Source organism: Homo sapiens, chromosome 11 (genome assembly GCF_000001405.40).
Source record: "Homo sapiens chromosome 11, GRCh38.p14 Primary Assembly".
Taxonomy (NCBI): Eukaryota; Metazoa; Chordata; class Mammalia; order Primates; family Hominidae; genus Homo; species Homo sapiens.
Window position 1 is genome coordinate 5,213,891 of NC_000011.10, and position 17,232 is coordinate 5,231,122.

Consider the following 17,232-nt stretch of genomic DNA (forward strand, 5'->3'; position numbering starts at 1 on the left):
ATATGCTGAACCAATCTTGCTTCTCAGGGATAAAGCCTACTTGATTGAGGTGGATTAGCTTTGTGATGTGTTGCTGGATTTGGCTTGCTAGTATTTTTGCATCAATGTTCAAGGATATTGGCCTGAAGTTTTCTTTTTTTGTTGTTGTGTGTCTATCAGGTTTTGGTATCAGGATGATGCTGGCCTCATAAAATGAGCTGAGGTTGAATCCCTCCCCCTCAATTTTTTGGAGTAGCTTCAGTAGGAATTTTTCCAACTCTTCTTTGTGCATCTGATAGAATTTGGTTGTGAATCATATTGTCCAGGGCTTTTTTTGTTTGATAGGCTATTTATTACTGAATCATTTTCAGAGCTCATCATGGATCTCTTCAGGAAATTGATTTCTTCCTGGTTCAGCCTTGGGAGGACCTAAAACAATCCTCAGCAAATGCAAAAAAAAAATCATATCAATCACTCTCAGACCACAGAGGAATAAAAATAGATTTCAAGACTAATGAATAGCTGAAAACTATGCAATTACATGGAAATTAAACAACCTGCTCCTGAATGAATTTTGGGTAAATAATGAAAACTAAGGCAAAAATAAAATAGTTCTTTGAAACTAATGAGAACAAAGATACAATATACCGGAATCTCTGGGACACAGCTTAGACAGTGTTAAGAGAGAAATTTATACACTAAATGCCCACATCAAAAAGTCTTAAAGCCCTCAAATTAACAACCTAATGTCACAACTAAAAGAACCAGAGAACCAAGAGCAAACCAACCCTAAATCTAGCAGAAGACAAGAAATAAACAAGATCAAAGCTAACTGAAGGATATTAAAACACAAAATACCATTCAAAAGATTAATGAGTCCAAGAGCTGGTTTTGTGAAAAAATTAATAAGGTAGATCACTAGCTAGACTAATAAAGAAGACAAGAGAGAAGATCCAAATAAGCACAGTTAGAAATGAAAAAGGGAATATTATCACTCACCCCACAGAAATACAAATAATCATCAAAAACTACTATGAACATCTCTATGTACATAAACTAGAAAATCTAAAAGAAATGGATAACTTCCTGGACTGCTCATTGTCTTAGGCAAAGAAGACTAGCCGTACTTTATTTGAGGGCTCTTTGAGTAGAGTCCTATAAATTCCTGTATTTCTCTCAACTCTATGTCCCCCTCCCCAGAATACAAAGCCCCTTCTGTGATGCCTCCTTTGCTTCTTTTGGTTATATCTGTGTTATATCTGAATATATGGCTCTAGAGAATCCCAAGAAATAGAAAAAGCTAGTCCAAAATCCAAGCTCTGAATAAGACAGGTGAGACCTTTGGATGAATATCTTTTCACAAAGTTGAGAAGATGTGAAGAACCCAAGAATCCACTGGAGAAACAGCCCCGAGGCACTGCAAGGGGTTCAGACCTGTGTTGGAGAATATCATCACCGTAACAAAACTTCTATGTTCTTAATATCTGTGTGTTTGTTTGTTTGTTTTTTGCTTGTTTGTTTGTTTTTCCTCAGAGACAGGATCTCAGTCACCAAGGCTAGAGAGCAGTGGTGTCATTATTGCTCACTGCAACCCTGAAATCCTGGGCTCAAGTGATCCTATCACTTCAGCCTCCTGGGTTACTGGGACTACAGATGCAAGCCACTGTGCCCAGCTTGGCTCTTTCTTTTTATTTTAATTGGTCACTTTGTTTTCAGACCTCTTGTTATCTTTAATCATTTTTCACCTCTGACTTGACCTCCCAGTTGTCAAATATTTGACTTAATGGGAGACTTTCCCCTAGCTTGTTGATTCCAGAAATTCAACTTTATTCTAGGCTTGGCTCCTGTTTAGTATTGCTGCTTTGAGATTGTTCTGGTTCATGAAAAACAAGTCTCCAAAATTTTCTACTTCTCAATATTGCCATTTACTAAATTCTTATAAACAAATAAGAAGGAAGACTCTCAGAAATATATGGAGAGACTGAGGTTAGAGTTGAGCAAGGCCTGAAATTTTGTCACAACTAATCTAGTTGAAGGAATGTTAACTGACTGAGAAAACACTAAATTTCTGTCTATTTCAAAGAGAAAGACTTGATAATGGCTCTACGGATGTGTGAGATCAGTTTTAATAGGATAACTTTTTTTTATTATTATACTTCAAGTTTTAGGGTACATGTGCACAACATGCAGGTTTGTTATATATGTATACATGTGCCATGTTGGTGTGCTGCACCCATTAACTCGTCATTTAGCATTAGGTATATCTCCTAGTGCTATCCCTGCCCCTGCCCCCCACCCCATAACAGTCCCCAGAGTGTGATGTTCCTCTTCATGTGTCCATGTGTTCTCATTGTTCAATTCCCACCTATGAGTGAGAACATGCGGTGTTTGGTTTATTCTCCTTGTGATAGTTTGCTGAGAATGATAGTTTCCAGCTTCATCCATGTCCCTACAAAGGACATGAACTCATCATTTTTTATGGCTGCATAGTATTCCATGGTGTATATGTGCCACATTTTCTTAATCCAGTCTATCGTTGTTGGACATTTGGGTTGGTTCCAAGTCTTTGCTATTGTGAATAGTGCTGCAATAAACATACGTGTGCATGTGTCTTTATAGCAGCATGATTTATAATCCTTTGGGTATGTACCCAGTAATGGGATGGCTGGGTCAAATGGTATTTCTAGTTCTAGATTCCTGAGGAATTGCCACACTGACTTCCGCAATGGTTGAACTAGTTTACAGTCCCACCAACAGTGTAAAAGTTGTTCCTGTTTCTCCACATCCTCTCCAGCACCTGTTGTTTCCTGACTTTTTAATGATCGCCATTCTAACTGGTGTGAGATGGTATCTCATTGTGGTTTTGATTTGCATTTCTCTGATGGCTAGTGATGATGAGCATTTTTTCATGTGTTTTTTGATTACATAAATGTCTTCTTTTGCGAAGTGTCTGTTCATATCCTTTGCCCACTTTTTGATGGGGTTGTTTGTTTTTTCTTGTAAATTTGTTTGAGTTCATTGTAGATTCTGGATATTAGCCCTTTGTCAGATGAGTAGATTGCAAAAATTTTCTCCCATTTTGTAGGTTGCCTGTTCACTCTGATGGTAGTTTCTTTAGCTGTGCAGAAGCTCTTTAGTTTAATTAGATCCCGTTTGTCCATTTTGTCTTTTGTTGCCATTGCTTTTGGTGTTTTAGACATGAAGTCCTTGCCCATGCCTATGTCCTGAATGGTATTGCCTAGGTTTTTTTCTAGGGTTTTTATGGTTTTAGGTCTAACATGTAAGTCTTTAATCCATCTTGAATTAATTTTTGTATAAGGTGTAAGGAAGGGATCCAGTTTCAGCTTTCTACATATGGCTAGCCAGTTTTCCCAGCACCATTTATTAAATAGGGAATCCTTTCCCCATTGCTTGTTTCTCTCAGGTTTGTCAAAGATCAGATAGTTGTAGATATGCGGCATTATTTCTGAGGGCTCTGTTCTGTTCCATTGGTCTAGATCTCTGTTTTGGTACCAGTACCATGCTGTTTTGGTTACCGTAGCATTGTAGTATAGTTTGAAGTCAGGTAGCGTGATGCCTCCAGCTTTGTTCTTTTGGCTTAGGATTGCCTTGGTGATGTGGGCTCTTTTTTGGTTCCATATGAACTTTAAAGTAGTTTTTTCCAGTTCTGTGAAGAAAGTCATTGGTAGCTTGATGGGGATGGCATTGAATCTATAAATTACCTTGGGCAGTATGACCATTTTCACGATATTGATTCTTCCTACCCATGAGCATGGAATGTTCTTCCATTTGTTTGTATCCTCTTTTATTTCATTGAGCAGTGGTTTGTAGTTCTCCTTGAAGAGGTCCTTCACATCCCTTGTAAGTTGGATTCCTAGGTATTTTATTCTCTTTGAAGCAATTGTGAATGGGAGTTCACTCATGATTTGGCTCTCTGTTTGTCTGTTATTGGTGCATAGGAATACTTGTGATTTTTGCACACTGATTTTATATCCTGAGACTTTGCTGAAGTTGCTTATCAGCTTAAGGAGATTTTGGGCTGAGACAATGGGGTTTTCTAGATATACAATCATGTCATCTGCAAACAGGGACAATTTCACTTCCTCTTTTCCTAATTGAATGCCCTTTATTTCCTTCTCCTGCCTGATTGCCCTGGCCAGAACTTACAACACTATGTTGAATAGGAGTGGTGAGAGAGGGCATCCCTGCCTTGTGCCAGTTTTCAAAGGGAATGCTTCCAGTTTTTGTCCACTCAGTATGATATTGGCTGTGGGTTTGTCATAGATAGCTCTTATTATTTTGAGATATGTCCCATCAATACCTAATTTATTGAGAGTTTTTAGCATGAAGCGTTGTTGAATTTTGTCAAAGGCCTTTTCTGCATCTATTGAGATAATCATATGGTTTGTGTCTTTGGTTCTGTTTATATGCTGGATTATGTTTATTGATTTTCGTATGTTGAACCAGCCTTGCATGGCAGGGATGAAGCCCACTTGATCATGGTGGATCAGTTTGCCAGTATTTTATTGAGGATTTTTGCATCAATGTTCATCAAGGATATTGGTGTAACATTCTCTTTTTTTGTTGTGTCTCTGTCAGGCTTTGGTATCAGGATGATGCTGGCCTCATAAAATGAGTTAGGGAGGATTCCCTCTTTTTCTATTGATTGGAATAGTTTCAGAAGGAATGGTACCAGCTCCTCCTTGTACCTCTGGTAGAATTCGGCTATGAATCCTACTGGTCCCGGACTTTTTTTGGTTGATAAGCTATTAATTATTGCCTCAATTTCAGAGCCTGTTATTGGTCTATTCAGAGATACAACTTCTTCCTGGTTTAGTCTTGGCAGAGTGTATGTGTCGAGGAATTTATCCATTTCTTCTAGATTTTCTAGTTTATTTGCGTAGAGGTGTTTATAGTATTCTCTGACGGTAGTTTGTATTTCTGTGGGATCAGTGGTGATACCCCGTGTCATTTTTTATTGCGTCTATTTGATTCTTCTCTCTTTTCTTCTTTATTAGTCTTGCTAGCAGTCTATCAATTTTGTTGATCTTTTCAAAAAAACAGCTTCTGGATTCATTGATTTTTTTGAAGGGTTTTTTTGTGTCTCTATGTCCTTCACTTCTGCTCTGATCTTAGTTATTTCTTGTCTTCTGTTAGCTTTTGAATGTGTTTGCTCCTGCTTCTCTAGTTTTTTAATTGTGATGTTAGGGTGTCAATTTTAGATCTTTCCTGCTTTCCCTTGTGGGCATTTAGTGCTATAAATTTCCCTCTACACACTGCTTTGAATGTGTCTCAGAGATTCTGGTGTGTTGTGTCTTTGTTCTCGTTGGTTTCAAAGAACATCTTTATTTCTGCCTTCATTTTGTTATGTACCCAGTAGTCATTCAGGAGCAGGCTGTTCAGTTTCCATGTAGCTGAGTGGTTTTGAGTGAGTTTCTTAATCCTGAGTTCTAGTTTGATTGCACTGTGGTCTGAGAGACAGTTTGTTATAGTTTCTGTTCTTTTACATTTGCTGAGGAGAGCTTTACTTCCAACTATGTGGTCAGTTTTGGAATAGGTGTGGTGTGGTGCTGAAAAGAATGTATATTCTGTTGATTTGGGGTGGAGAGTTCTGTAGATGTCTATTAGGTCTGCTTGGTGCAGAGCTGAGTCCAATTCCTGGATATCCTTGTTAACTTTCTGTCTCGTTGATCTGTCTAATGTTGACAGTGGGGTGTTAAAGTCTCCCATTATTATTGTGTGGGCATCTAAGTCTCTTTGTAGGTCACTCAGGACTTGTTTTATGAATCTGGGTGCTCCTGTATTGGGTGCATATATATTTAGTATAGTTAGTTCTTCTTCTTGAATAGATCCCTTTGCCATTATGTAATGGCCTTCTTTGTCTCTTTTGATCTTTGTTGGTTTAAAATCTGTTTTATCAGAGACTAGGATTGCAACCCCTGCCTTTTTTTGTTTTCCATTTGCTTGGTAGATATTCCTCCATCCTTTTATTTCGAGCCTATGTGTGTCTCTGCACGTGAGATGGGTTTCCTGAATACAGAACACAGATGGGTCTTGACTCCTTATCCAATTTGCCAGTCTGTGTCTTTTAATTGGAGCATTTAGCCTATTTACATTTAAGGTGAGTATTGTTATGTATGAATTTGATCCTGTCATTATGATGTTAGCTGGTTATTTTGCTCGTTGATGCAGTTTCTTCCTAGCCTTGATGGTCTTTACAATTTGGCATGTTTTTGCAGTGGCTGATACTAGTTGTTCCTTTCCATGTTTAGTGCTTCCTTCAGGAGCTCTTGTAGGGCAGGCCTGGTGGTGACAAAATCTCTCAGCATTTGCTTGTCTGTAAAGGATTTTATTTCTCCTTCACTTATGAAGCTTAGTTTGGCTGGATATGAAATTCTGGGTTGAAAATTCTTTTCTTTAACAATGTTGAATATTGGCCCCCACTTTCTTCTGGCTTGTAGAGTTTCTGCCGATAGATCAGCTGTTAGTCTGATGGGCTTCCCTTTGTGGGTAACCCGACCTTTCTCTCTGGCTGCCCTTAACATTTTTTCCTTCATTTCAACTTTGGTGAATCTGACAGTTATGTGTCTTGGAGTTGCTTTTCTCTAGGAGTATCTTTGTGGCGTTCTCTGTATTTCCTGAATGTGAATTTGGGCTTGCCTTGCTAGATTGGGGAAGTTCTCCTGGATAATATCCTGCAGAGTGTTTTCCAACTTGGTTCCATTCTCCCCATCACTTTCAGCTACACCAATTAGATGTAGATTTGGTCTTTTCACATAGTCCCATATTTCTTGGAGGCTTTGTTCGTTTCTTTTTATTCTTTTTTCTCTAAACTTCTCTTCATGCTTCATTTCATTCATTTCATCTTTCGTCATTGATACCCTTTCTTCCAGTTGATCTCATCGGTTACTGAGGCTTGTGTATTTGTCACGTAGTTCTCCTGCCTTGGTTTTCAGCTCCATCAGGTCCTTTAAGGACTTCTGTGCATTGGTTATTCTAGTTATCCATTCATCTAATTTTTTTTCAAAGTTTTTTACTTCTTTGCCGTTTGTTCGAACTTCCTCCTTTAGCTTGGAGTAGTTTGATCTTCTGAAGCCTTCCTCTCTCAACTCGTCAAAGTCATTCTCTGCCCAGCTTTGTTCCATTGCTGGTGAGGAGCTGCGTTACTTTGGAGGAGGAGAGGCACTCTCATTTTTAGAGTGTCCAGTTTTTCTGCTCTGCTTTTTCCCCATCTTTATGGTTTTATCTACCTTTGGTCTTTGATGATGGCGATGTACAGATGGGTTTTTGGTGTGGATGTCCTTTCTGTTTGTTAGTTTTCCTTCTAACAGTCAGGACCCTCAGCTGCAGGTCTGTTGGAGTTTACTGGAGGTCCACTCCAGAAGCTGTTTTCCTGGGTATCAACAGCGGTGGCTGCAGAACAGTGGATATTGGTGAACCGCAAATGCTGCTGCCTGATCATTCCTCTGGAAGTTTTGTCTTAGAGGAGTACCAGCCATGTGAGGTGTCAGTCTGCCCCTACTGGGGGATGCCTCCCAGTTAGGCTACTCGGGGGTCAGGGACCCACTTGAGGAGGCAGTCTGCCTGTTCTCAGATCTGAAGCTATGTGCTGGGAGAACCACTACTCTCTTCAAAGCTGTCAGACAGGGACATTTAAGTCTGCAGAGGTTCTTGTTGTCTTTTGTTTGTCTGTGCCCTGCCCCTAGAGGTGGAGCCTACAGAGGCAGGCAGGCCTCCTTGAGCTGTGGTGGGCTCCACCCAGTTCGAGCTTCCAGGCGGCTTTGTTTACCTGCTCAAGCCTGGACAATGGTGGGCACCCCTCCCCCAGCCTCACTGCCACCTTGCAGTTTGACCTCAGACTGCTGTGCTAGCAATGAGCGAGGCTCCATGGGCGTAGGACCCTCTGAGCCAGGCATGGGATATAATCTCCTGGTGTGCCATTTGTTAAGCTTGTTGGAAGAGCGCAGTATTAGGGCGGGAGTGACCCGATTTTCCAGGTGCCATCTGTCACCCTTTTCTTTGACTAGGAAAGGGAATTCCCTGACCCCTTGTGCTTCCCGGGTGAGGTGATGCCTCGCCCTGCTTTGGCTCATGCACAGTGCACTGCACCTACTGTCCTGCACCCACTGCCTGGCACTTCCCTGTGAGATGAACCTGGTACCTCAGTTGGAAATGCAGAAATCACCCGTCTTCTGCGTCACTCACGATGGGAGCTATAGACTGGAGCTGTTCCTATTCGGTCATCTTGGCTCCACCGCTCCCCCCCCCCTTTTTTTTTTCTTTTTTTTTTGTGACGGAGTCTCATGCTGTCACCTGGGCTGGAATGCAGTGGCACAATCTTGGCTCACTGCAACCTCTGCCTCCCAGGATCAAGCGATTCTCCTGCCTCAGCCTCCCAAATTGCTGGGATTACACATGCCTGCCACCACGCCAGGCTAAGTTTTTATATTTTTAGTAGCGATGAGGTTTCACTATGTTGGCCAGGCTGATCTTGAACTCCTGACGTCGTGATCCGCCTGTCTAGGCCTCCCAAAGTGCTGCAATTGCAGGTGTGAGCCACCGCTCCCAGCCTAGAATAACTTCTTAAATGCTTTTATTGTTGACTGAATTTATTTCTCCCTTGATAGTTTCTACTTTGGGTTGATAATTAAATAACAGTGTTATCTCTAAGATTATATACATGTCTTCCCATATTTTTATTCTAGTTTTTTCGTGACTGAATTTTACCTTCACACCTAATTGTGTAATCGATTGTGGTATATGCAGTTAAGCATTTCACTTTACTCTTTTCAAAAAGTATAGTTGTTCAATTACTGTTTGTTTTTTATTTCCAAGCTAAATTTAAAAGCTATATTTTTATATATCACATTATTATATTTTAGTGAGATTTAGTTTTTGGATTTCTATTTATTCCACTATCTTACTTACACATGAGTGGTATTAATTTAACATGATTTTAGAATGAAGAAAATGAAGCCATTTTTAGATAAACCAAAAGTAACAATGTATTTCCAGCAGAAAGAGATAATATTAAGGATAATCAGAAAAAAATAGAATAAACTTAGAGAGAATGTTAGAAATGAAGAAAAGCATGCAAAACATTTTGTACATAAGTGTAAACATTTCTTCACTATTTAATAATAACACTAGAAAATCTAGGGAGTAAAACTATACAAAATATCTAAAATATATATATATATAATTATAGATTGGGAAGGGGAAAATGAAGATAAAGTGCTAAAATTTATTGTATTGTTTTGGAAAAGAGTAAACAGTCAAATGGATATTTGTATCTGAAAAATCAAGAATGCAATTCTAATCATCAAGATGCATTTTTTTATTTTTTAGTTTTTTAATTCATGTGATGTCTATTCTTTTTTATTATTCTTCAACTTTATTGAGGTATCATTCACAAATAAAAATTGTATATATTTAAGGTGTACAACATGATGTTTTAATATATGTATACCTTGTGAAATGATTACCACAATCAAGCTAATTAACATACCCATTATCTCACATAGTTACCTTTTTCTTGTGGTAAATGCTTTTAAGATCTACTCTCGGCCAGGCCCGGTGGCTCACGCCTGTAATCCCAGCCCTTTGGGTGGCCGAGGCAGGCGGATCAGCCTGACCAACATGGAGAAACCCCGTCTCTACTAAAAATACAAAATTAGCTGGGCATGGTGTCGCATGCCTGTAATCCCAGCTACTCGGGAGGCTGAGGCAGGAGATTTGCTTGAACCCAGGAGGCGGAGGTTGCAGTGAGCCAAGATCTTGCCATTGCACTCCAGCCTGGACAACAAGAGCAAAACTCCATCTAAAAAAAAAAAAAAATCTACTCTCTTTGCAAATTTTAAATATACTTACAGTACAATTAACTACAGTCACGATGCTGTACATTAGATATCTAGAATTTATTCATCCCACATAACTGAAATTTTATACCCTTTGAGTAATAGTTTCCTGATTCTCCCACCCCCAACCCCTGGAAACCATACCTCTACTGTCTGTTTCCATGAGAGTGACTTTTTTATGTTTCACATATGAGCAAGGTTGTGTAGTATTTGTCTTTTTGTGTCAGGCTTATTTTTCTTAGTTTTACATCCTCCAGGTTCATCAATTCTGCCATAAATGGCAGGATTTTCTTCTTTTTAATTTTTTTATTTTCCTATTTTTAATTTTTTGTTTGTTATTGAATCATCTGTGTTTCTTATATATTTTGGATATTAACCAAAATATTTAAGAAATATTTGGTTTGCAAATATGCCATTTCATGGTTCACCTTTCATTTGTTCATTGTTTTGTTTTTTGTGTGGAAATTTTTTAGTTTGATGTAGCCTCACTTCTTTATTTTTCCTTTTGTTGCCTTTGCTTCTCATATCAAATTCAAAAAACGGCTGCAACGTGAATATTAGAATTTTCTTCTTTTGATTTCTTTAAAAATTTTTATGGTTTTAGGTCTTAGTTTAATTCTTTAACCCATTCAAATTTATTTTTGTTTATGGTGTAAGACAAGGGTCTGATTTCATTTCATTTTGAGGGTTTCACCCTCTCATATAATAAAATTCTTCTATATACCCTTCTATCATCACTTATTACTGATTATATGCCTTGATTTCAGAATCTTGCCAACTAGATTCAGAATTTGACTGGGAGAGAGGACAAGGACCACTTGAGACTCATATTTTATTTCCAGAATCTAGCATCTACCTACCTAGGTATTGAATAAGAAAAATGAAGTTAAGGTGGTTGATGGTAACACTATGCTAATAACTGCAGAGCCAGAAGCACCATAAGGGACATGATAAGGGAGCCAGCAGACCTCTGATCTCTTCCTGAATGCTAATCTTAAACATCCTGAGGAAGAATGGGACTTCCATTTGGGGTGGGCCTATGACAGGGTAATAAGACAGTAGTGAATATCAAGCTACAAAAAGCCGCCTTTCAAATTCTTCTCAGTCCTAACTTTTCATACTAAGCCCAGTCCTTCCAAAGCAGACTGTGAAAGAGTGATAGTTCCGGGAGACTAGCACTGCAGATTCCGGGTCACTGTGAGTGGGGGAGGCAGGGAAGAAGGGCTCACAGGACAGTCAAACCATGACCCCTGTTTTTCCTTCTTCAAGTAGACCTCTATAAGACAACAGAGACAACTAAGGCTGAGTGGCCAGGCGAGGAGAAACCATCTCGCCGTAAAACATGGAAGGAACACTTCAGGGGAAAGGTGGTATCTCTAAGCAAGAGAACTGAGTGGAGTCAAGGCTGAGAGATGCAGGATAAGCAAATGGGTAGTGAAAAGACATTCATGAGGACAGCTAAAACAATAAGTAATGTAAAATACAGCATAGCAAAACTTTAACCTCCAAATCAAGCCTCTACTTGAATCCTTTTCTGAGGGATGAATAAGGCATATGCATCAGGGGCTGTTGCCAATGTGCATTAGCTGTTTGCAGCCTCACCTTCTTTCATGGAGTTTAAGATATAGTGTATTTTCCCAAGGTTTGAACTAGCTCTTCATTTCTTTATGTTTTAAATGCACTGACCTCCCACATTCCCTTTTTAGTAAAATATTCAGAAATAATTTAAATACATCATTGCAATGAAAATAAATGTTTTTTATTAGGCAGAATCCAGATGCTCAAGGCCCTTCATAATATCCCCCAGTTTAGTAGTTGGACTTAGGGAACAAAGGAACCTTTAATAGAAATTGGACAGCAAGAAAGCGAGCTTAGTGATACTTGTGGGCCAGGGCATTAGCCACACCAGCCACCACTTTCTGATAGGCAGCCTGCACTGGTGGGGTGAATTCTTTGCCAAAGTGATGGGCCAGCACACAGACCAGCACGTTGCCCAGGAGCTGTGGGAGGAAGATAAGAGGTATGAACATGATTAGCAAAAGGGCCTAGCTTGGACTCAGAATAATCCAGCCTTATCCCAACCATAAAATAAAAGCAGAATGGTAGCTGGATTGTAGCTGCTATTAGCAATATGAAACCTCTTACATCAGTTACAATTTATATGCAGAAATATTTATATGCAGAGATATTGCTATTGCCTTAACCCAGAAATTATCACTGTTATTCTTTAGAATGGTGCAAAGAGGCATGATACATTGTATCATTATTGCCCTGAAAGAAAGAGATTAGGGAAAGTATTAGAAATAAGATAAACAAAAAAGTATATTAAAAGAAGAAAGCATTTTTTAAAATTACAAATGCAAAATTACCCTGATTTGGTCAATATGTGTACACATATTAAAACATTACACTTTAACCCATAAATATGTATAATGATTATGTATCAATTAAAAATAAAAGAAAATAAAGTAGGGAGATTATGAATATGCAAATAAGCACACATATATTCCAAATAGTAATGTACTAGGCAGACTGTGTAAAGTTTTTTTTTAAGTTACTTAATGTATCTCAGAGATATTTCCTTTTGTTATACACAATGTTAAGGCATTAAGTATAATAGTAAAAATTGCGGAGAAGAAAAAAAAAGAAAGCAAGAATTAAACAAAAGAAAACAATTGTTATGAACAGCAAATAAAAGAAACTAAAACGATCCTGAGACTTCCACACTGATGCAATCATTCGTCTGTTTCCCATTCTAAACTGTACCCTGTTACTTATCCCCTTCCTATGACATGAACTTAACCATAGAAAAGAAGGGGAAAGAAAACATCAAGCGTCCCATAGACTCACCCTGAAGTTCTCAGGATCCACGTGCAGCTTGTCACAGTGCAGCTCACTCAGTGTGGCAAAGGTGCCCTTGAGGTTGTCCAGGTGAGCCAGGCCATCACTAAAGGCACCGAGCACTTTCTTGCCATGAGCCTTCACCTTAGGGTTGCCCATAACAGCATCAGGAGTGGACAGATCCCCAAAGGACTCAAAGAACCTCTGGGTCCAAGGGTAGACCACCAGCAGCCTAAGGGTGGGAAAATAGACCAATAGGCAGAGAGAGTCAGTGCCTATCAGAAACCCAAGAGTCTTCTCTGTCTCCACATGCCCAGTTTCTATTGGTCTCCTTAAACCTGTCTTGTAACCTTGATACCAACCTGCCCAGGGCCTCACCACCAACTTCATCCACGTTCACCTTGCCCCACAGGGCAGTAACGGCAGACTTCTCCTCAGGAGTCAGATGCACCATGGTGTCTGTTTGAGGTTGCTAGTGAACACAGTTGTGTCAGAAGCAAATGTAAGCAATAGATGGCTCTGCCCTGACTTTTATGCCCAGCCCTGGCTCCTGCCCTCCCTGCTCCTGGGAGTAGATTGGCCAACCCTAGGGTGTGGCTCCACAGGGTGAGGTCTAAGTGATGACAGCCGTACCTGTCCTTGGCTCTTCTGGCACTGGCTTAGGAGTTGGACTTCAAACCCTCAGCCCTCCCTCTAAGATATATCTCTTGGCCCCATACCATCAGTACAAATTGCTACTAAAAACATCCTCCTTTGCAAGTGTATTTACGTAATATTTGGAATCACAGCTTGGTAAGCATATTGAAGATCGTTTTCCCAATTTTCTTATTACACAAATAAGAAGTTGATGCACTAAAAGTGGAAGAGTTTTGTCTACCATAATTCAGCTTTGGGATATGTAGATGGATCTCTTCCTGCGTCTCCAGAATATGCAAAATACTTACAGGACAGAATGGATGAAAACTCTACCTCGGTTCTAAGCATATCTTCTCCTTATTTGGATTAAAACCTTCTGGTAAGAAAAGAAAAAATATATATATATATGTGTGTATATATACACACATACATATACATATATATGCATTCATTTGTTGTTGTTTTTCTTAATTTGCTCATGCATGCTAATAAATTATGTCTAAAAATAGAATAAATACAAATCAATGTGCTCTGTGCATTAGTTACTTATTAGGTTTTGGGAAACAAGAGATAAAAAACTAGAGACCTCTTAATGCAGTCAAAAATACAAATAAATAAAAAGTCACTTACAACCCAAAGTGTGACTATCAATGGGGTAATCAGTGGTGTCAAATAGGAGGTTAACTGGGGACATCTAACTGTTTCTGCCTGGACTAATCTGCAAGAGTGTCTGGGGGAACAAAAAGCCTCTGTGACTTAGAAAGTAGGGGTAGGAGGGGAAAAGGTCTTCTACTTGGCTCAGATTATTTTTTTCCTCTAGTCCACTAAGAATACTGCGTTTTAAAATCATTTCCTTGATTCAAGTTCCTATTTCTCTTTATATTTTGTTTGTTTAAACCTCCTTTACTAAAATTTACTCTTCTTTCTCTATAGCTTCCCAACGTGATCGCCTTTCTCCCATCCCCCTGTACTTTTTCCCCTTGTACTAAATTAACTCCTCAGGTGAGGAAAAACTTTTGAAGTGCAGAGTTCTGCTTCCTGCTATTAAAAGATGTAATTAAAACAGCAAAGGTAGCAAGCATTTATGAGGTCAGCGTAGGGTCTCAGTGTTCCCTAAGGGCCCTGTCAGTCATCCTGAATCCTGCCCCTACCTGGAAACCCATGTCGGTTTAGTAAGGAAAGTGTTATACTTTTACTTTGCATGTTTCTCCTACTTCTTCCTTTCAGCTCTAACACTCTGAAACTACGATTACACAAAATAAAATAAAATAAAATAAAATAAAACAATAAAATGAAATAAAATTTAGGTTAACCAAAAGAAACTGGATCCTCTATTTCTAGTTATCAGAAGGAAATTTACAAATTTCTTATTTCCATTGCTTTATTCTCTTAAATGCTTTCTCTATTATTGCTAAATAAATAGAGATCTCTCACTTTTTCTACCTGTCTCAACCCTCATCAGGTACTTGTGAAAAAATCTCACTCTGATTATTCTCACACACGCAGAAAGTGTTTGGTTCTTCTATGGCTATCTGGAGCCTAGGTTAAAAAATTATGCCTATGTATGATTATAGAGGTAAGAGGGATAAAATTTAAGTATTTTCTTTTTATATTCATTCCTCTGTAAAAAACTAAAGCAATGAGGATCTAGGCACACGTGTATCCCTGAGAAAAGATTTCACATGTTGAATCCTGGGAAAAGACGTCTTTAAAATATTTTAAATGTTAAAACATGCAGATTTGACTTGGCTGTTAGATTTTGGATTTTATTTTATTAAATTTAAACCTGCATTAGCATTGTTTTAGATTTAGACAGTTTTCAAGACCCTGTTTCACATCCCTGATATAAGAGGCATGTATATGTGAAATAAAGTGTTCTGCGGAAGTTTGAATATGTCTTTTGCAAATATCCTGGGTCAAAGAAAATGCACAGACTTTATGAAATTATAATATAGGTTATATTTATAGTATTCTGAAAGACCAAAATTGTCAAAGCAAGAGCTTTGAAATCCTGATTGGCAGAAATTGTCACCTTCTTAAAGACTTACCCTACAACTTCTTATGCTCAGAAATAGTTTTCCTTTTTCTATTTTGTTTTCTTTTTTAAATGATGAACTATGGATCCTTCTCTTGTGTTGGCAACTGCTGCAGATACCATCATCCTGGCTTCAAGGCAGGGGTTGCTTTTCCAATGGTAGTTACTTAGTGTGACTAGAGTGTAACGCAGACTTTTCTTTCTATTACCCATAATACCCTGCAGGGACAAGGCTGCAAGCTATACTAAGACCATCAAAAGCCCAGGCATACCAGGCAAATAAGTTTCAAGAAGCAATAAATAGTGCAAATTTGGTTATGGTCAGAGCCTCAGTTTCAAATCTAAATCAGCATTCAAAGTTCCTGAAAAACTATTCAAGCTTACTGACATCTTCACTATTGTGAGCTTGCTTCTACTCTGTGAATGGATGCCACAGCAGGTGCAGGTCTATTCTACTTTTATTCCAGCCCCACTGACCACAACACACACACACACACACACACACACACACACACAAGTCCTCAAAAAAGAGACAGCGAGAGAGACAGAGGTCCATTTCCTTTACTCCAGTCTATTAATCTTTCTTAAGTCCTAATGTTTTATATCAGAATGGCCCTAGTCTGGGTATACTTAGAGGATGAATATTAACTTCCTCCATGAAAATCATGACACTCATCTATGGGAGTGTGGTTTTATCATTTGTTTCAAAAGCAGCACTTGACTAGAGTATTTTTATACATGCTCTACTGTTTAGTCTAAAATTCCCCAAGTGAGACATTTTAGCAATCTACTGTATATGTTCCTAGGTCAAGCACAGTCTAGCTACTTGCTACAGACTTCTCTCGCAGATACACAATCTCTCAGTAAACACAACTCAGCAGCTCTCAGAATTAATTAATTAAAATGAAATAAAAATGCTCCAAGAAAACCAGAACCCATAGAAACAAACCGCACACACACAAAATAGTTTGGAAATAGGATAGTTTAGTTCACTTTAAAAAGTTGTATTTCTTACCAAAAAGCAATAAAGTCAACATAGACAGAACTTTGCTAAAGTATATGCATAATTATTACAGAAAAATTTATATTTCAGTCTGCACCTTGTTCATTAATATTTCCTCCACTGGGCTCAGATTTTCATTCAGAATTAGCTTTTTTTTAACCTCATTAAGTGGGCCATGGTGTCAATTTATGGAGAGCAGAGGTACAGTCTTCAGATAAATTTGAGATTGCATCTCTTTAGAGGTAGAATCTTGGCTTCAGTCTGAACACCCTTTACAAACATGTAGGCATTAATTCAGAGGACTGCTCTGAAGCTCAAGAGATGGATGATTTAGGAGACTATTAGGCTTAATTCTCCTGACATTAAATTATTTTATTGAAAAATTTTCATGAACTCAAATTCACATTATTACGTCCTCTCTTCCCTTCCTCTCTCCCTCTCTTTCACACACACACACACCCTTTCATTCAGACATACTGAACATAGTTTATAAAGCAACGCCATAGTGAGAAAAGAAAAACAACCATTTGATAAATTATCAAATAAAATTAAAGCCAAATCTTGAGGAATTAATTCCATTCCTATACTTTGTTTTAACTTTCATTTTAAATTTGGGGGTACATGTACAAGTTATATAGGTAAATTGCATATCACTGGGTCTTGATGTACAGATTATTTCATCACTCAGTGATGAACTTAATACCCAATAGGTTCTTTTTCATCGTCTCCCTCTTCCCACCCTCAACCCTCAAGTAGGCCTGGGTGTCTGTTGATCTATTTTTTGTGTCCATGTGTATCATCATTTAGCTCCCACACTCCTAGACTCTTACAAAAGCTCTACTCTAACAAATAATTTTAATATAACAACAAGGTGCCAAGTC

General features: G+C 38.5%; 1 protein-coding gene across 1 annotated transcript, besides 43 other annotated features; it reads right to left on the reverse strand.

Annotated features, from left to right (window-relative positions):
- Nucleotides 8,276-13,116: an origin of replication, noted in NCBI's record as "IR (initiation region); spanning amplicons 59.8 to 65.6; identified by PCR analysis or hybridization of BrdU-labelled nascent strands with strand-specific probes". NCBI's record gives the evidence for it as "EXISTENCE:nucleotide analog incorporation evidence [ECO:0001107][PMID:7481774]".
- Nucleotides 8,276-15,730: a biological region, named in NCBI's record as "origin of replication at HBB". NCBI's record gives its function as "regulatory_interactions: HBB-LCR".
- Nucleotides 9,040-9,538: a matrix attachment site, noted in NCBI's record as "3'beta SAR; inferred minimal region flanked by DdeI and BglII restriction sites". NCBI's record gives its function as "associates with nuclear scaffold" and the evidence as "EXISTENCE:fractionation evidence [ECO:0000100][PMID:2559410, PMID:3208739]".
- Nucleotides 9,429-9,637: a silencer, noted in NCBI's record as "fragment chr11:5244549-5244757 (GRCh37/hg19 assembly coordinates)". NCBI's record gives its function as "represses an EF-1alpha promoter that drives an FKBP-Casp9 reporter gene in an ReSE screen in HepG2 liver carcinoma cells {active_cell/tissue: HepG2}" and the evidence as "EXISTENCE:reporter gene assay evidence [ECO:0000049][PMID:32094911]".
- Nucleotides 9,885-11,567: an origin of replication, noted in NCBI's record as "bGRep-E; EcoRV/SwaI fragment; assayed by quantitative PCR of lambda exonuclease-treated size-fractionated nascent strands; functions as an origin of replication in an ectopic location". NCBI's record gives the evidence for it as "EXISTENCE:nuclease protection assay evidence [ECO:0001106][PMID:16085752]".
- Nucleotides 9,889-13,133: an origin of replication, noted in NCBI's record as "bGRep-I; NcoI fragment; assayed by quantitative PCR of lambda exonuclease-treated size-fractionated nascent strands; functions as an origin of replication in ectopic locations". NCBI's record gives the evidence for it as "EXISTENCE:nuclease protection assay evidence [ECO:0001106][PMID:15060158]".
- Nucleotides 9,890-11,001: an enhancer, noted in NCBI's record as "1.1 kb HpaII-XbaI fragment deleted in the GB-SH-E transgene". NCBI's record gives its function as "enhances expression of a G-gamma-beta hybrid transgene 25-fold in mouse embryonic blood cells" and the evidence as "EXISTENCE:transgenic organism evidence [ECO:0001131][PMID:2304460]".
- Nucleotides 9,890-12,700: a biological region, named in NCBI's record as "beta-globin gene 3' regulatory region". NCBI's record gives its function as "regulatory_interactions: HBB | HBB-LCR".
- Nucleotides 10,090-11,151: an enhancer, noted in NCBI's record as "1.06 kb BstNI fragment a". NCBI's record gives its function as "activates transcription of a G-gamma-globin promoter transgene in mouse fetal liver" and the evidence as "EXISTENCE:transgenic organism evidence [ECO:0001131][PMID:2828176]".
- Nucleotides 10,551-11,050: a DNaseI hypersensitive site, noted in NCBI's record as "beta-globin 3' enhancer hypersensitive site; the nucleotide coordinates are approximate for this feature". NCBI's record gives the evidence for it as "EXISTENCE:in vivo cleavage assay evidence [ECO:0001075][PMID:6200877]".
- Nucleotides 10,761-11,019: an enhancer, noted in NCBI's record as "0.26 kb PstI fragment in relevant transgenes". NCBI's record gives its function as "necessary for expression of the HBB gene in a YAC transgene in fetal liver and adult spleen; activates an A-gamma-globin marker transgene in fetal liver and shows an additive effect with an intron 2/exon 3 HBB enhancer element; required for LCR activity by 5'HS3 in beta-gamma hybrid transgenes" and the evidence as "EXISTENCE:transgenic organism evidence [ECO:0001131][PMID:8990180, PMID:3478680, PMID:10807795]".
- Nucleotides 10,761-11,019: a replication regulatory region, noted in NCBI's record as "0.26 kb PstI fragment deleted in the deltaP construct; does not have origin activity by itself in a transgene". NCBI's record gives its function as "required but not sufficient for replication at the HBB IR origin" and the evidence as "EXISTENCE:nuclease protection assay evidence [ECO:0001106][PMID:16085752]".
- Nucleotides 10,770-11,009: an origin of replication, noted in NCBI's record as "amplicon 7; peak of nascent strand synthesis detected by quantitative PCR of lambda exonuclease-treated nascent strands". NCBI's record gives the evidence for it as "EXISTENCE:nuclease protection assay evidence [ECO:0001106][PMID:16085752]".
- Nucleotides 10,779-10,804: a protein binding site, noted in NCBI's record as "oligo D NF-E1-binding fragment". NCBI's record gives the evidence for it as "EXISTENCE:protein binding evidence [ECO:0000024][PMID:2461328, PMID:2911469]".
- Nucleotides 10,814-10,843: a protein binding site, noted in NCBI's record as "oligo C NF-E1-binding fragment". NCBI's record gives the evidence for it as "EXISTENCE:protein binding evidence [ECO:0000024][PMID:2461328, PMID:2911469]".
- Nucleotides 10,867-10,892: a protein binding site, noted in NCBI's record as "oligo B NF-E1-binding fragment". NCBI's record gives the evidence for it as "EXISTENCE:protein binding evidence [ECO:0000024][PMID:2461328, PMID:2911469]".
- Nucleotides 10,982-11,007: a protein binding site, noted in NCBI's record as "oligo A NF-E1-binding fragment". NCBI's record gives the evidence for it as "EXISTENCE:protein binding evidence [ECO:0000024][PMID:2461328, PMID:2911469]".
- Nucleotides 11,020-12,700: an enhancer, noted in NCBI's record as "1.7 kb BamHI-PstI transgene fragment that includes intron 2 and exon 3 of the beta gene". NCBI's record gives its function as "activates an A-gamma-globin marker transgene in fetal liver and shows an additive effect with the beta 3' enhancer" and the evidence as "EXISTENCE:transgenic organism evidence [ECO:0001131][PMID:3478680]".
- Nucleotides 11,451-11,950: a DNaseI hypersensitive site, noted in NCBI's record as "hypersensitive site that overlaps the 3' exon of the beta-globin gene; the nucleotide coordinates are approximate for this feature". NCBI's record gives the evidence for it as "EXISTENCE:in vivo cleavage assay evidence [ECO:0001075][PMID:6200877]".
- On the reverse strand, nucleotides 11,574-13,181 carry HBB (hemoglobin subunit beta). Its single transcript, NM_000518.5, has 3 exons — nucleotides 13,040-13,181; nucleotides 12,687-12,909; nucleotides 11,574-11,836 (listed from the first exon to the last, which is right to left on the reverse strand). Exons 1-3 carry the CDS (start codon nucleotides 13,129-13,131, stop codon nucleotides 11,708-11,710), a joined length of 444 nt encoding a protein of 147 aa, NP_000509.1. The 5' UTR covers nucleotides 13,132-13,181; the 3' UTR covers nucleotides 11,574-11,707.
- Nucleotides 11,582-14,236: a replication regulatory region, noted in NCBI's record as "core replicator region (position 61100 to position 63754 of J00179)". NCBI's record gives its function as "required but not sufficient for replication origin activity in a transgene in an ectopic location" and the evidence as "EXISTENCE:nucleotide analog incorporation evidence [ECO:0001107][PMID:9703500]".
- Nucleotides 11,783-12,710: a replication regulatory region, noted in NCBI's record as "Rep-I-1 (PmlI/EcoRI fragment)". NCBI's record gives its function as "important for replication origin activity" and the evidence as "EXISTENCE:nuclease protection assay evidence [ECO:0001106][PMID:15060158]".
- Nucleotides 11,783-15,730: an origin of replication, noted in NCBI's record as "HindIII/EcoRI fragment; confers replication activity to a human artificial chromosome (HAC)". NCBI's record gives the evidence for it as "EXISTENCE:genetic transformation evidence [ECO:0005027][PMID:9892678]".
- Nucleotides 11,784-12,700: an enhancer, noted in NCBI's record as "0.9 kb EcoRI-BamHI fragment spanning intron 2; region deleted in the H2beta-IVS2 construct". NCBI's record gives its function as "required for LCR activity by 5'HS3 along with the beta 3' enhancer in beta-gamma hybrid transgenes; increases inducibility of the beta-globin gene in transfected MEL cells" and the evidence as "EXISTENCE:deletion mutation evidence [ECO:0005510][PMID:3432265]" and "EXISTENCE:transgenic organism evidence [ECO:0001131][PMID:10807795]".
- Nucleotides 11,930-12,069: an enhancer, noted in NCBI's record as "active region_4325". NCBI's record gives its function as "activates an Ori minimal core promoter by ATAC-STARR-seq in GM12878 lymphoblastoid cells {active_cell/tissue: GM12878}" and the evidence as "EXISTENCE:reporter gene assay evidence [ECO:0000049][PMID:35858748]".
- Nucleotides 12,026-12,826: a DNaseI hypersensitive site, noted in NCBI's record as "the nucleotide coordinates are approximate for this feature". NCBI's record gives the evidence for it as "EXISTENCE:in vivo cleavage assay evidence [ECO:0001075][PMID:12397609]".
- Nucleotides 12,184-12,700: a matrix attachment site, noted in NCBI's record as "beta-IVS2 SAR". NCBI's record gives its function as "associates with nuclear scaffold" and the evidence as "EXISTENCE:fractionation evidence [ECO:0000100][PMID:2559410, PMID:3208739]".
- Nucleotides 12,374-12,623: a replication regulatory region, noted in NCBI's record as "delta((AG) and(AT)) region; includes RepI-1(AG)". NCBI's record gives its function as "contributes to replication origin activity" and the evidence as "EXISTENCE:nuclease protection assay evidence [ECO:0001106][PMID:16877501]".
- Nucleotides 12,467-12,481: a transcriptional cis regulatory region, noted in NCBI's record as "triplex-forming bases of the beta-globin (L) tfRNA (5'-UUUUUUUUCUUCUCC-3' on minus strand)". NCBI's record gives its function as "forms DNA-RNA triplex with 5'HS2 of the HBB-LCR, resulting in reduced expression of the espilon- and gamma-globin genes in transfected K562 cells, and the gamma- and beta-globin genes in transfected HUDEP-2 cells" and the evidence as "EXISTENCE:cell transfection experiment evidence [ECO:0005606][PMID:30867287]".
- Nucleotides 12,680-12,737: a non allelic homologous recombination region, noted in NCBI's record as "sub-region HBB Lepore-Boston-Washington, recombines with sub-region HBD Lepore-Boston-Washington within the HBD recombination region". NCBI's record gives the evidence for it as "EXISTENCE:nucleotide sequencing assay evidence [ECO:0000219][PMID:2060774]".
- Nucleotides 12,680-14,944: a biological region, named in NCBI's record as "HBB recombination region". NCBI's record gives its function as "recombination_partner: LOC106099063 | LOC106099064".
- Nucleotides 12,706-14,736: an origin of replication, noted in NCBI's record as "region containing bidirectional origin of replication between H and I probe fragments; flanked by BamHI and BglII restriction sites; identified by hybridization of BrdU-labelled nascent strands with strand-specific probes". NCBI's record gives the evidence for it as "EXISTENCE:nucleotide analog incorporation evidence [ECO:0001107][PMID:8255298]".
- Nucleotides 12,721-13,116: an origin of replication, noted in NCBI's record as "hbetaG amplicon; peak of nascent strand synthesis identified by competitive PCR". NCBI's record gives the evidence for it as "EXISTENCE:nuclease protection assay evidence [ECO:0001106][PMID:10891496]" and "EXISTENCE:nucleotide analog incorporation evidence [ECO:0001107][PMID:9703500]".
- Nucleotides 12,741-12,758: a non allelic homologous recombination region, noted in NCBI's record as "sub-region HBB Lepore-Kenya, recombines with sub-region HBD Lepore-Kenya within the HBG1 recombination region". NCBI's record gives the evidence for it as "EXISTENCE:nucleotide sequencing assay evidence [ECO:0000219][PMID:2060774]".
- Nucleotides 12,748-12,794: a non allelic homologous recombination region, noted in NCBI's record as "sub-region HBB Lepore-Baltimore, recombines with sub-region HBD Lepore-Baltimore within the HBD recombination region". NCBI's record gives the evidence for it as "EXISTENCE:nucleotide sequencing assay evidence [ECO:0000219][PMID:2060774]".
- Nucleotides 12,752-12,905: a non allelic homologous recombination region, noted in NCBI's record as "sub-region HBB Lepore-ARUP, recombines with sub-region HBD Lepore-ARUP within the HBD recombination region". NCBI's record gives the evidence for it as "EXISTENCE:nucleotide sequencing assay evidence [ECO:0000219][PMID:23001912]".
- Nucleotides 12,992-14,944: a meiotic recombination region, noted in NCBI's record as "meiotic double-strand break mapped by DNA meiotic recombinase 1 chromatin immunoprecipitation followed by single-stranded DNA enrichment and sequencing in the germ cells of some male individuals with PRDM9 A/A, PRDM9 A/B, and PRDM9 A/C genotypes". NCBI's record gives the evidence for it as "EXISTENCE:chromatin immunoprecipitation-seq evidence [ECO:0000229][PMID:25395542]".
- Nucleotides 13,025-13,063: a non allelic homologous recombination region, noted in NCBI's record as "sub-region HBB Lepore-Hollandia, recombines with HBD Lepore-Hollandia within the HBD recombination region". NCBI's record gives the evidence for it as "EXISTENCE:nucleotide sequencing assay evidence [ECO:0000219][PMID:2060774]".
- Nucleotides 13,068-13,083: a nucleotide motif, noted in NCBI's record as "nucleotide motif; similarity to the predicted 16-mer PRDM9 C-type binding motif, CCNCNNTNNNCNTNNC".
- Nucleotides 13,096-13,476: an origin of replication, noted in NCBI's record as "hubetaPr1 amplicon; peak of nascent strand synthesis identified by competitive PCR of lambda exonuclease-treated nascent strands". NCBI's record gives the evidence for it as "EXISTENCE:nuclease protection assay evidence [ECO:0001106][PMID:10891496]".
- Nucleotides 13,128-13,449: a replication regulatory region, noted in NCBI's record as "Rep-P-2 (NcoI/SnaBI fragment)". NCBI's record gives its function as "important for replication origin activity" and the evidence as "EXISTENCE:nuclease protection assay evidence [ECO:0001106][PMID:15060158]".
- Nucleotides 13,128-15,730: an origin of replication, noted in NCBI's record as "bGRep-P; NcoI fragment; assayed by quantitative PCR of lambda exonuclease-treated size-fractionated nascent strands; functions as an origin of replication in ectopic locations". NCBI's record gives the evidence for it as "EXISTENCE:nuclease protection assay evidence [ECO:0001106][PMID:15060158]".
- Nucleotides 13,200-13,244: a replication regulatory region, noted in NCBI's record as "Rep-P(AG)". NCBI's record gives its function as "contributes to replication origin activity" and the evidence as "EXISTENCE:nuclease protection assay evidence [ECO:0001106][PMID:15060158, PMID:16877501]".
- Nucleotides 14,638-15,438: a replication regulatory region, noted in NCBI's record as "Rep-P-1 (BamHI fragment)". NCBI's record gives its function as "important for replication origin activity" and the evidence as "EXISTENCE:nuclease protection assay evidence [ECO:0001106][PMID:15060158]".

Excerpts from the sequence above, each read along its gene's own strand:
- HBB (NM_000518.5), bottom strand. The coding sequence starts at position 13,131 with ATGGTGCATCTGACTCCTGAGGAGAAGTCTGCCGTTACTGCCCTGTGG. Across the intron at positions 12,910-13,039 it reads GGTGGTGAGGCCCTGGGCAG|GCTGCTGGTGGTCTACCCTT; the intron begins GTTGGTATCAAG and ends TCCCACCCTTAG. Across the intron at positions 11,837-12,686 it reads TGGATCCTGAGAACTTCAGG|CTCCTGGGCAACGTGCTGGT; the intron begins GTGAGTCTATGG and ends TTCCTCCCACAG.